At 44.2% G+C, this 12232-nt stretch overlaps 1 protein-coding gene across 3 annotated transcripts in view, besides 1 other annotated feature; it reads right to left on the bottom strand.

Moving 5' to 3' along the window:
- The window catches only part of TANGO6 (transport and golgi organization 6 homolog), a 241652-nt gene that overhangs the window by 25067 nt on the left and 204353 nt on the right, over nt 1-12232 (bottom strand). The gene's annotated exons all lie outside the window — the stretch shown is intronic.
- Nucleotides 2177-2396: an enhancer, noted in NCBI's record as "active region_11034". NCBI's record gives its function as "activates an Ori minimal core promoter by ATAC-STARR-seq in GM12878 lymphoblastoid cells {active_cell/tissue: GM12878}" and the evidence as "EXISTENCE:reporter gene assay evidence [ECO:0000049][PMID:35858748]".

Raw genomic sequence — 12232 nt, 5'->3', positions numbered from 1 at the left:
CTCATCAGATGGATAGCTGGGGGAAGGAAGGCATTCGAGGCATAAGAAACAGTATGGACCAAGATGTGACCAAGATGTGGAGGCAGGAATCAGGATGGCAGATTATTCTGGGGCTGCCATGAGCTTCTCAGGGCATAAGAAGGCAAGCATGGGACAGAAAGTCATAGAAGGCAGGTGGGTCCAGATTACAAAGGGCCTTGTATGTCATGCAAAGGAGTCTGACCTTCATCTGATAGACCACAAGAAACCACTGAAAAATTATTAGTCGGGACCAGACTTAGCAGATTTGCATCTCAGGAAGATCTCTCTGGCTATAGTTCCCTTACCATCCCTGGGTAACTAAGTACCTGTTGACCCAGGAGAATTAAAGAGTAGAAAAGTGGCCAGGCCAACATGGTGAAACCTCGTCTCTACTAAAAATACAAAAATTAGCTGGGTGTGGTGGTTGTGCACCTGTAGTCCCAGCTACTCGGGAGGCTGAGGCAGGAGAATCATTTGAACCCGGGAGGCAGAGGTTGCAGTGAGCAGAGATTATGCCATTACACTCCAGCCTGGTGACAGAGCAAGACTCCGTCTCAAAAGAAAAGAGAAAAAAAGAAAAAAGAAAAGTGGCCAGGCGCGGTGGCTCACGCCTTTAATCCCAGAACTTTGGGAGGCTGAGGCGGGCGGAACACCTAAGGTCAGGAGTTCGAGACCAGCCTGGCCAACATGGTGAAACCCCCTCTCTACTAAAAATGCAAAAATTTCTGGGCATGGTGGCTCACGCCTGTAGTCCCAGCAGTTTGGGAGGCCAAGGCAGGTGGATCACTTGAGGTCAGGAGTTCGAGACCAGCCTGGCCAATATGGTGAGACCCCCATCTCTACTAAAAATACAAAAAATTAGCCAGGCGTGGTGGCGTACACTTCCCAGATAATTGGGAGGCTGAGGTGGGATAATTGCTTGAACCCGGGAGGCAGAGGTTGTAGTGAGCCATGATAGCGCCAATGCACTCCAGCCTGGGCAACAGAGCAAGACTCCGTCTCAAAAAAAAAAAAAAGAAATTAGCTGGGCATGGTAATGGGTGCCTGTAATCCCAGCTACTTAGGAGGCTGAGGAAGGAGAATCACTTAGACCTGGGAGGCAGAGGTTGCAGTGAGCCGAGATCGCAGCATTGTATTCCAGCCTGGGTGACAAGAGCAAAACTATGTCTCAAAAAAAAAAAAAAAGAGTAGAAAAGTCCAGTGGTTAAAGACCATTCTGGCTAACACGGTGAAACCCTATCTCTACTAAAAATACAAAAAAATTAGCCAGGTGTGGTGGCGGGCGCCTGTAGTCCCAGCTACTCGAGAGGCTAAGGCAGGAGAATGGTGTGAACACGGGAAGCAGAGCTTGCAGTGAGCCGAGATTGCGCCACTGCACTCCAGCCTGGGTGACAGAGCGAGACTCCGTCTCAAAAAAAAGAGAAAAGTCCAATGGTTAAGGAAGCAGAAGTCTCAGGAACCCAGGTTTGTCCTAATACACTTGTAATACTTCACCTCTTCCTCAAGTATGATCTCAAGCCAGTTCTAATTAGTTCCTTCAGAACAGCCAAGCTGGCAATAAGATAGCCTGGGTTTGCATTCAGTTCTCCTGCTTACTGGCTGTGTGGCATCCGAATGTAAACCTTCTGGACCTGAATTTTCTTATCTGTAAATAGAGTTAATAAGCATATGTCTCTCACAAGGTTGTTAGGGGGACTCAGTGAGATAATAATGTAAAGAATTTAGCACTCTGCCTGGCATACAATAAACCCTTAAACAGGATTAGTTATATTACTATTAAGTATCAAACCTTGGAGGACATGGAATTTATTTGGCGCAGATTTGCTATGAGCAAACAATCCATGGGGTGATGAGCAATGAGCTGGAACAAACCCCAGAGCATCAATCCAGGCTGTCATTTCGCGTCACCCCAAGGAGGGTACACTTAGTCAGAACTCCTCCCTTTCAGAGGATGGAGCAAAGATAAATGGGTTTTGCAACCTGTAGGCCCATCTGATTATCAGAATAATCACTCTCTGGGAAGAAATAATCCCCGAATCAGGTTGTAGACAAGGAGGAAAAGTCCCAGGACTGACTCCCCAGCTTGGCAGCCCTGAAGGTGTCTGGTCTCTTTCAGTTTTTCTCTACCCCATGCTTTTTTCAGTTCTGTGTACATTGTGGGAAGTTGCTGAATCGCGTAGTCTGTGGTTGGACTGTGCTTTTGGCAAGAGGTAGGGGAGCATGAGGAAGGGTAAAGAAAGAAGCCAAGGTTGTTTCCTGCTTTTGCTCTCTTACAGAGCTCCTGTTGGCAGGTCCCGGGAGGTCAGGAAACCCGGGTGCCTGAACACTTTCCCATCACTGTCTCATCATTCTCCTGGGCTAGCAGTAAATACGCCAAAGGGATGTGGTCTGGCCTCTTTTCCTTTTGGATTTCATGGTTTCTGGGATTGGAAGCAGCCTTCTGTTGGCCATGATCTGTGTAGGGAATGCCCAGGTGACTCAGAATTGGAGTTCTTCAGGTGACAGGGACATAGAAAATGGTGTGTGAGCTCTGGAGCTGCACTGCCTGGGTTCATCTATTGGCCTGCCATTTAATAGTTGTTGAACAAGTTACTTAGCTTCTTCGTCTTAGTCTCCTCATGTTTAAAATAGGGATAGCAGAATTCTGTGAGCCTATTTGGCTTAGGAAGCTGGCCGTAAATAAAAGAAAAAAGAGTGATAGTAATCATACTGAAATGGGGTTACTATAAGGATCTGGTGAATTAATTAATGTAAAGCACACAGATATAAGTGCTGTCATGTAGTAAATGCCTAAATAAAAGTGTTTTGTGTAGTTTTAATTTATACTCTATTTTTCAGAAACACAACTACCATATAAACTGAGAGAGTATTTTTATTTCTTTGGGATTTTACAAAGAGCAATTTACCATTTTTGAAAATCAGGCCATTCACGGGAACTTGTAGTTCCAGCTAATCGGGAGGCTGAGGCAGGAGAATGACGTGAACCTGGGACGTGAACCCATGAGCTTGCAGTGAGCCAGATCATGCCTCTGCACTCCAGCCTGGGCAACAGAGCAAGACTCCATCTCAAAAAAAAAAAAAAAAAAAAAAAAAAAAAGAAAATCAGGCCATTCAAGGCTGGGCTTGGTGGCTCATGCCTGTAATCCCAGCACTTTGGGAGGCCTGGGCAGGCGGATCAAGAGGTCAGGAGATCGAGACCATCCTGGCTAACACGGTGAAACCCCGTCTCTACAAAAAATACAAAAAAATTAGTTGGGCGTGGTGGCAGGCGCCTGTAACCCCAGATACTCGGGGTTACTGTAACTGGTAACTTGCATTGCTAATGAGTGCTAATTCTTCCTGGCATTAACTTTGGAAAATTATAAACTATTGTCTCTTCATGAGCTTTAGTTACCTAATTCATAAAATAAGACGGTTGCATTATTTCCCAAAGTATCTTTCAAGGAACTTGGCCTGCTTATGATGAAAAAAGGGTTCTTGGTAAATGAATTTAGGAAATTGTGGGTTTTTTTTTTTTTGCTGCAGGACTTCGCAGACTTCTTAATAGGCTAACATGTACTGAGTCTCCAAGAGGAGAATGTCTAGTTGTATACAGCATTTTCTAAGCTTATTTGACCAGGAAGACCTTATTTCAAAGGAGCAGCTCATGAAGTTAGTGTGCCAGGGACATTTCTGTGAAATATAAATTAAATATTCTAAATCCTCTTCCACTTCTAACATCCTAAAATTCTGTGACATTAAATGTTTAAATGAGAAACTTTTGGCCATTTTAAATAACAATCAGAAGAGTAAAGCAAAAGCTAGCCTACAGAAAATAAAATATTGTAAATCTGATGCAGAAGAGGAAAACAAACCAAATTCTAACACATGTAGATCTATGTAAATGATTTTGCAGAAGAGGCAGAAAGGGAATAGTTTTAAATGTTAGAGTTTCTACACTGTCCCTTATGTCATCACTAGCAAAGGTTGAACATTTATAACTTAGCAATCCCAGCAAGGTACTGAGTCCTCATCTTTTCAGCTTTAATTTTCTTTTTTCTTTTTCTTTTTTTTTTGAGATGGAGTCTTGCTCTTGTTGCCCAGGGTGGAGTGCAATGGCATGATCTCGGCTCACTGCAACCTCCGCCTCCTGGGTTCAAGCAATTCTCCTGCCTCAGCCTCCCAAGTAGCTGGGATTACAGACGCCCACCACCACTCCCGGCTAATTTTTTGGTATTTTCAGTAGAGAAAGGGCTTCACTATGTTGGCCAGGCTGGTTTCAAACTCCTGACCTCAGGCAATCCACCTGCCTCGGCCTCTCAAAGTGCTGGGATTACAGGCGTGACACGCCAGCACGCCTGGCTCAGCTTTACTTTTCAAGCCCATCACTAACATCACGTGGATTTGGCCAAGTTACTGTTGAGGAAATCTATGGGATTATTCCCTAGTCCTAGGCAATAGTCCTAGGCACTGGCCCCAGCCTGACTTTGCACAAATGACTATGGTGGAGGCTGAACCTGATTTTACACAAACCAGCAACCCCACACACCACACCTGGCCCAGCCAAGTTGGCTGATCTGGGGATGAACATGTAGTCTTAGTTGGAACATTAAGACTCCTTTCTAGAATTTTGCATTTGGGTCTAGAAAGGGAATCTGAGTGTTGGATATAACACTGGGCCACCATCAGTGGTTATGTTGCTGCCACAGGAAGAAAGCCAGATTCCAGGACAGGGGACTGAAGGTGAAATGAAAGGGAAGCATAGACAGGAGATGGAGTATTCCAGTTTGTGATTCTGAGTCGCTGACCCCCCAGCTCTATCTCTGCTTTTCCCACAACGTGGTTGTTCAGCCCTTCTTTGGATGCAACAGGCTAAACGCTCCCTTTGCTTAAGCTTGTTTAGACAAGGTTTCTTTTACTTAAAACCAAATAACTCTGAGTACAGTCACACAGCCCCTTCATACCTACTTTCTCCATTGATAAAGAGGGAAGAATGAAGCCTGTCTCCTGAAAGCTGGTGGACTGAACATATGCATACATCACTGCTCTCTCTTGAAACCCCACTAAAATTATGTAGAGGGATAAAAAAAAAAAATTGGCATCTTTAAGTTACCAGAACAAAAAGAACTAACAAGACAATAGCAACAGAAGTTTTTTTTTTTTTTTTTTTTTTTTGAGACGGAGTCTCGCTGTGTCACCCAGGCTGGAGTGCAGTGGCTTGATCTCGGCTCACTGCAAGCTCCGCCTCCCGGGTTCACGCCATTCTCCTGCCTCAGGCTCCCGAATGGCTGGGACTACAGGCACCTGCCACCGCGCCCTGCTAATTTTTTTTTTTTTTGTATTTTTAGTAGAGATGGTGTTTCACCGTGTTAGCCAGGATGGTCTCGATCTCCTGACCTCGTGATCCGCCCACCTTGGCCTCCCAAAGTGCTGGGATTACAGGCTTGAGCCACCACGCCCGGCCAGCAACAAAAGTTTTGATACTAGAAAGTAGTTGGATGAATCCTAGGGTCATGGTCCTGATTTGCCCAGGATAATATATTGTATGCCTGATGCCCTGGTAATAATTATTAATAGTATCCTCTTTCACCCTCAAAAGTGTCCCAGTCTGGATGATAAATTGATTCATTAAGCCTAAGAGTCCCAGAAGCAGGCCTAACGTACCACAGAATCTCAGAAAATTTCAGGAGTTGATGGCACCATGCCTCTTAAAATCAGGGTGAACAGAAGACCTGGTTGAGAGTATGTCTGAGTAGCAATCAGGTCCCCTGAGCCCTCTTCTACTACTCTCTGCATCCAGGTAACTGCCCCTCCCCAACCAGCAGAAGCCTGGAGTGTTTACCCTTTGGAGGGTCCTACCAGAGAGACTCTGGATAGGTAGACATTAGATAGAGACACAGATGAGAGTGCGATGGTAAAAACAGGAGGATAAGTGAAAGTCTACACACTGAATGGTGAGACCTCCATCCTTCTCTTTCCACTCATCTTCCGGAACCCTCCAGCCAGGCTTCTATCCTCTATGGGAGACCAAGATTCTTTTTTTTTTCTTTTGAGACAGAGTCTTGCTCTGTTGCCCAGGCTGGAGTGCAATGGAGTGATCTCAGCTTACTGCAACCTCCATCCCCGGGGTTCTAGCGATTCTCCTACCTCAGCCTCCTGATTAGCTGGGATTACAGGCCCCTGCCACCATACCTGGCTAATTTTTTTGTATTTTTAGTAGAGACGGGTTTCGCCATGTTGGCTAGGCTGGTCTGGAACTCCTGATCTCAGGTGATCCACCCGCCTTGGCCTCCCAAAGTGCTAGGATTACAGGCGTGAGCCACCGTGCCTGGCCGAGACTAAGATTCTTTTCTGCCAAGCCCCCCAAGAAAGACTTCAACATAGTCACAGTACGGAGTCTCCCAATGATATCACCTGGCCAGATCATCACCCTCTTATAAAGTCCTCTAGTCCATAAATAAGTACCTGTACATAGAGTATCATCAGCTTTTGAGTGCTCTGTTCTTAAATCTTGCAGTAGGCTTAGAAGTAACCAGTCCAGACAAGAGCAGTGGATGAAGGCTTATAGGAGACATGCCTCCAAGAAGATGAAGCTGTTAGATTACCTGATGTGTCTGAACCTTTTATGAGATTTATAAACTTTCAGCAAAGATTGGGGATGAATTAATGATAGGTTCATAGAAAAGTAACAGATGTAAACATGAAACATTTATTAACTTTAGAGAAAACTAAAATTCAAACAAGAAAGGAAATGTGATCATAGAATAGATAACAGTTACAGTCATAATAACATAAACACTGAATGCTGATATTAAAAAACTGTAATGTAACTAAATAGGGAGAATGGGGAGGGGGAATATATATATTTGTGAGAGCATGTTAATAATAATAATAATAATGAATACATATTGAGCTTTTAGAACCTATACATTCTAAATGCTTTTCATAGATAAGTTCAATTAATTCTTATAACAACTCTATAAAGTGGTACTATTATTTTTATTTATTTTTTGAGACCGAGTTTCGCCCTTGTTGCCAGGAGTACAGTGGCACGATCTCGGCTCATTGCAACCTCTGCCTCCCGAATTCAAGCGATTCTCCTGCCTCAGCCTCCTGAGTAGCTGGGATTATAGACATGCACCACCATGCCTGGCTTATTTTGTATTTTTAGGAGAGATGAGGTTTCTCCGTGTTGGCCAGGCTGGTCTCGAACTCCTGACCTCAGGTGATCCACCCACCTCGGCCTCCCAAAGTGCTGGGATTACAGGCATGAGCCACCGTGCCTGGCACTATTATTATTATTTCCATTTTATAGATGAGGAAGTTGAGGAGAAGAGAGGTCAACTAATTTGTGCAGGGTCTCACTGCCAGCAAGTTGCAAAGCTGGGATTTCAGCTTGGACATCCAGCTCCAGAGTCCATACTTGAAGCCAAAGCCACTGGACTGTTTCTTCATACCTCCCACATAGGCCAGTTTTTCCACCTTTGGAACAGAAGCTGAGGGGGCCCACTTTTATACATACTAGGAGGTCAAGTGAACTGAAGAATCAAGGTTGGGTACAGTGGCTCACACCTGTAATCCTATGACTTTGGGAGGCCGAGGTGGGCAGATGGCTCAAGCTCAGGTCTTGACCAGTCTGGGCAACATGGCAAAACTCAGTCTCCACAAAAAATACAAAAATTAGCTGGGTGTGGTGGTGTGTGCTTGTAGTCCCAGCTACTCGGGAGGCTGAAGTGGGAGGATTGCTTAAGCCTGGGAGGCTGAGGTTGCAGTGAACTGAGACTGTGCCACTACACTCCAGCTTGGGAGACAGAGCAAGACCCTGTCTCCAAAAAAAAAAAAAAAAGAAAAGAAAAATCAAGGCCTGAGAGCAATGGCACACACCTGCAATCCCAACATCATTTTGGGAGGCCAAGGTGGCAGGATTGCTTGAGCCTAGGAGTTTGATACGACTAGCCTGGGCAATATAGGGAGACACCATCTCTACAAAAAATTTAAAAAATTAGCCAGGTGTGGTGGTACACACCTGTAGTCCCAGCTACTCAGAGGCTATGGTGGGAGGATTGTCTGAGCCCAGGAGGTCAAGGCTGCAGTGAGCCATGATGGTGGCACTGCACCACTCCCACCTGGGTCGACAGAGCAAGACTGTGTCTAAAAAAAAAAAAAAAAGAAAAAGAAAGAAAGAAAAGAAAAAAGGAAAATCAAGAAATAGCAGTATAAGCATACCATCTGTAAATATGGAAAAAATATATATATATATTTTTAATTTTTTGAGACAGTCTCGCTCTGTTGCCCAGGCTGAAGTGCAGTGGCGTGATCTTGGCTCACTGCAGCCTCCATCTCCTGGGTTCAAGCAATTCTCCAGCCTCAGCCTCCTGAGTAGCTGGGATTACAGGCGCATGCCTGGCTAATTTTTGTATTTTTTGTTTTTTGAGATGGAGTTTCACTCTTGTCCACTAGGCTGGAGTGCGATGGCACAATCTCAGCTCACTGCAACCTCTGCCTCCTGACCTCAAATGAGTCTCCTGCCTCAGCCTCCTGAGTAGCTGGGATTACAGGCACCCAATACCACACCCAGTTAATTTTTGTATTTTTAGTAGAGACAGGGTTTCACCATGTTGGCCATGTTTCACCGTGTTGTCAAACTCCTGACCTCAGGTGATCTGCCCACCTCAGCCTCCCAAAGTGCTGGGATTACAGGTGTGAGTCATTGTGCCCAGCCTTTTGTATTTTTAGTAGAGACGGGGTTTCATCATGTTGGCCAGGCTGGTTTTGAACTCCTGACCTCAAGTCAGGATCCACCCACCTCAGTCTCCCAAACTGCTGGGATTACAGGCGTGAGCCACCGTGCTCAGCCGAAAGTAAATTTAAAAACCAAAACAAAACAACAAAACAAGTGGAAAATGGTTGCTGATGGGGAATAGGAACACTAAGTGAGAAACAAGCTTTGTAAAACTATTGTTTTAAAAATACATATGTTTATGTAATTTTATTTTTATTTTAAATAATATTTAATTACATTATATTTTAAATTATGCAATCAATTTAATATGTAATTTAATTACATAATATTTTTATTTGGGGGGAATAAAAATTAAATTAGAAAATAAATAAATCAACAATAAAGACAACCCAATTAAAAAATGGGCAAAGAAATTGAACAGACATTTCTCCAAAGATGATATACAAATAGCTAAGTGCAATGGCTCACGCCTGTAATCCCAGCACTTTGGGAGGCTGAGGCAGGAAGATTACTTGAGCCCACGAGTTTGAGACCAGCCTGGGCAACATAGTGAGACCCCATCTCTACAAAAAATAAAAAAATTAGGGCCGGGCGCGGTGGCTCAAGCCTGTAATCCCAGCACTTTGGGAGGCCGAGGTGTGTGGATCATGAGGTCAGGAGTTTAAGACCAGCCTGACCAACATGGTGAAACCCTGTCTCTACTAAAAATACAAAAATTAGCCGGGCATGGTGGTACATGCCTGAAATCCCAGCTACTCAAGAGGCTGGGGCAGGAGAATTGCTTGAACCCGGGAGGCGGAGGTTGCAGTGAGCTGAGATCGCACCACTGCATTCCAGCCTGGGTGACAGAGCAAGACTCCGTCTCAAAAAAAAAAAAAAAATTAGCTGGGCATGGTGGCATAGTTTAGGAGGCTGAGGTGGAAGGATTGCTTGAGCCTAGGAGTTTGAGGCTGCACCGAGCCATGATCGTGCCACACCATTCCAGCCAGGATGACCATGAGACCCCGTTTCAGAAAAAACAAAAACAAAAACCTAACAAGCTCAACATCTTTAGCCATGAGGGAGATGCAAAATCTAAACCTTATCATAGGAGTTCATATTTGATACATGCTAGAATGTATGATGGACAATAACAAGTGTTCGTGAGGATATGGAGAATTTGGAAACCTCATGCATTGCTGGTGGGAATGTAAACTCATGCAGTCACTTTGAAAACAGTCTGGCAGTTCCTCAAAAGTTAAACACAGAATTACCATATGACCCAACAATTCCACTTCTAGGTATATACCCAAGAGAAATGAAAACATATATTTACACAAAAACTTCTACACAAATGTTCATAGCAGCATTGTTTAAAATAGCCAAAAAGTAGAAACATCCTATATGTCCATCAACTGATAAATGGATAAACAAATGTGGCATACCTATACGATGGAATCTTATTCAGCTGCAAACATTAAGCTCTGATATATGCTACACCATGGATGAGCCAGGCAGGGTGTGGTGGCTCATGCCTGTAATCTCAGCACTTTGGGAGGGGAGGCAGAGGCAGAAGGATCACATGAGCTCAGGAGTTCAAGACCAGCCTGGGCAACATAGTGAGACCCCATCTTTATAAAAAAGAAAAAAAAAAAGCCAGACATAGTGGCTCATGCCTGTAATCCTAGCATTTTGGGAGGCTGGGCGGGGAGGGGTGGTGGATCACTTTAAGTCAGGAGTTCAAGACCAGCCTGGCCAACATGGTGAAATCCCGTCTCTACTAAAAATACAAAAATTAGCCAGGCATGGTGGCAAGTGCCTGTAATCCCAGCTACTCGGGAGGCTGAGGCAGGAGAATTGCTTGAACCTGGGAGGCAGAGGTTGCAGTGAGACGAGATGGCGCCATTGTACACCAGCTTGGGGGACAAGAGCGAAACTTCGTCTCCAAAAAAAAAAAGAAAGAAAAAAAATTTTTAAAGAAAGAAAACATGGATGAGCCTTAACCACATGATACTAAAGGAATGGAAGGAGGCAGACACAGAAGGCCACATATTGTATGACTCATTTATATGAAATGTCTAGAATAGGCAAATCCATAGTGAGAAAGTAGATTAGTGATTGCTAGGGGCTTGGGGGAGAGGAGAACGGGGAAGAGGAGAATTGGGGAGTGGAGTATGGAGTTTCTTTTGGGGGGCAATGAAAATGTTGTGGAATTAGATATTGATGAGCATTGCACCACTTTATGAATATGCTAAAATTGCAGAATTATATACTTTGAAAGGGTGAATTTTATACTATATAAATTATGTCTCAAATTAAGAAACAGTGACAAGAAATACAAGGTAAGGGGAAGAGGGGGCTCTGGTGCTATTGACGAAGAGAGCACACTCATTTTACCTCCTTCGGGTCAGCAGCAGCAGCCTTGCAGAAGGCCGGCCCCATCTGCCTGGGCCTGGCTTTGACTTTTTGCTGTTCATCAGCTTCCCTCAGCTTGGGTCTGTCCCCAGCCTAGTACTGCTCCTTTTCCAACACACTTTTGGCCCTGCTCTCTCAGGACCCTGACTCAAATCCTGGGACAAGTAAGCCCCTGAAATCTCTAGGAGTAACTCTTGTAATTAAAAAAGCAGAGCATCATATACAAACCATTTATTTTCTTTAGCCAGGGTTTGCCTTCTCTCTCACAGAGAAGTAGGAGAGTAATCTCCAGTATTAATGGTGAACCCACCATTCATAAATAACCTTATCAGGAAGAGGCTTCAGCCATCAGAGTCCAATACTGAGCTCATGTGATTAAAAATCATTCCTGCATGGAGGCCTGAGTTTGCCTCAGAACTTAAAACAGCTGTCAATTAATAATTAATCCCTGGGAGGCTAAGGCAGGAGGATTGCTTGAGCCTAAGAGTTTCAGGCTGCAGTGAGCTCTGATCACACCACTGCACTCTAGCCTGGGCAACAGAACAAGACATCCATCTCTTAAAAAAAAATTAATCCTGGCAGGGCACAGTGGTTCACGCCTGTAATCCTGGCACTTTGAAAGGCAGAGGTGGGCAAATTGCTTGAGGTCAGGAGTTTGAGACCAGCCTGGCCAACATGGCGAAACCCCACCTCTACAAAAAAAAAAAAAAAAAAAAAAAATACAAAAAATTAGCTGCACTTGGTGGCGTGCACCTGTAATCCCAGCTAGTCAAGAGGCTCAGGCACAAGAATCGCTTGAACCCAGGAGGCAGAGGCAGCAGTGAGCTGATATTGCGCCACTGTGCTCCAGCGTGGGTGACAGAGCAAGACTCTGTCTTATAAAAAGAAAAGAAAAGAAAAAAAAACTCCCAAACTCTTCTAAAGATGCTTCCAGGTTTGGCTTGTTTTTGAAGAAACAACCTGATGTTAAGACTTTTTATCATTTTGAAGGAATTAATTCTAAAGCTGAATACTGATCTCCCACAAAACAGATAGAGAATAGATTATTCTTTTGTCATCTAAAATTAGGGATTACAAGGAAGAAAACTGCTCTGA

The sequence above is a fragment of the Homo sapiens genome, chromosome 16 (genome assembly GCF_000001405.40).
Source record: "Homo sapiens chromosome 16, GRCh38.p14 Primary Assembly".
In the NCBI taxonomy this organism is placed as follows: Eukaryota; Metazoa; Chordata; class Mammalia; order Primates; family Hominidae; genus Homo; species Homo sapiens.
This window is presented reverse-complemented; position numbering and strand designations above follow the sequence as displayed.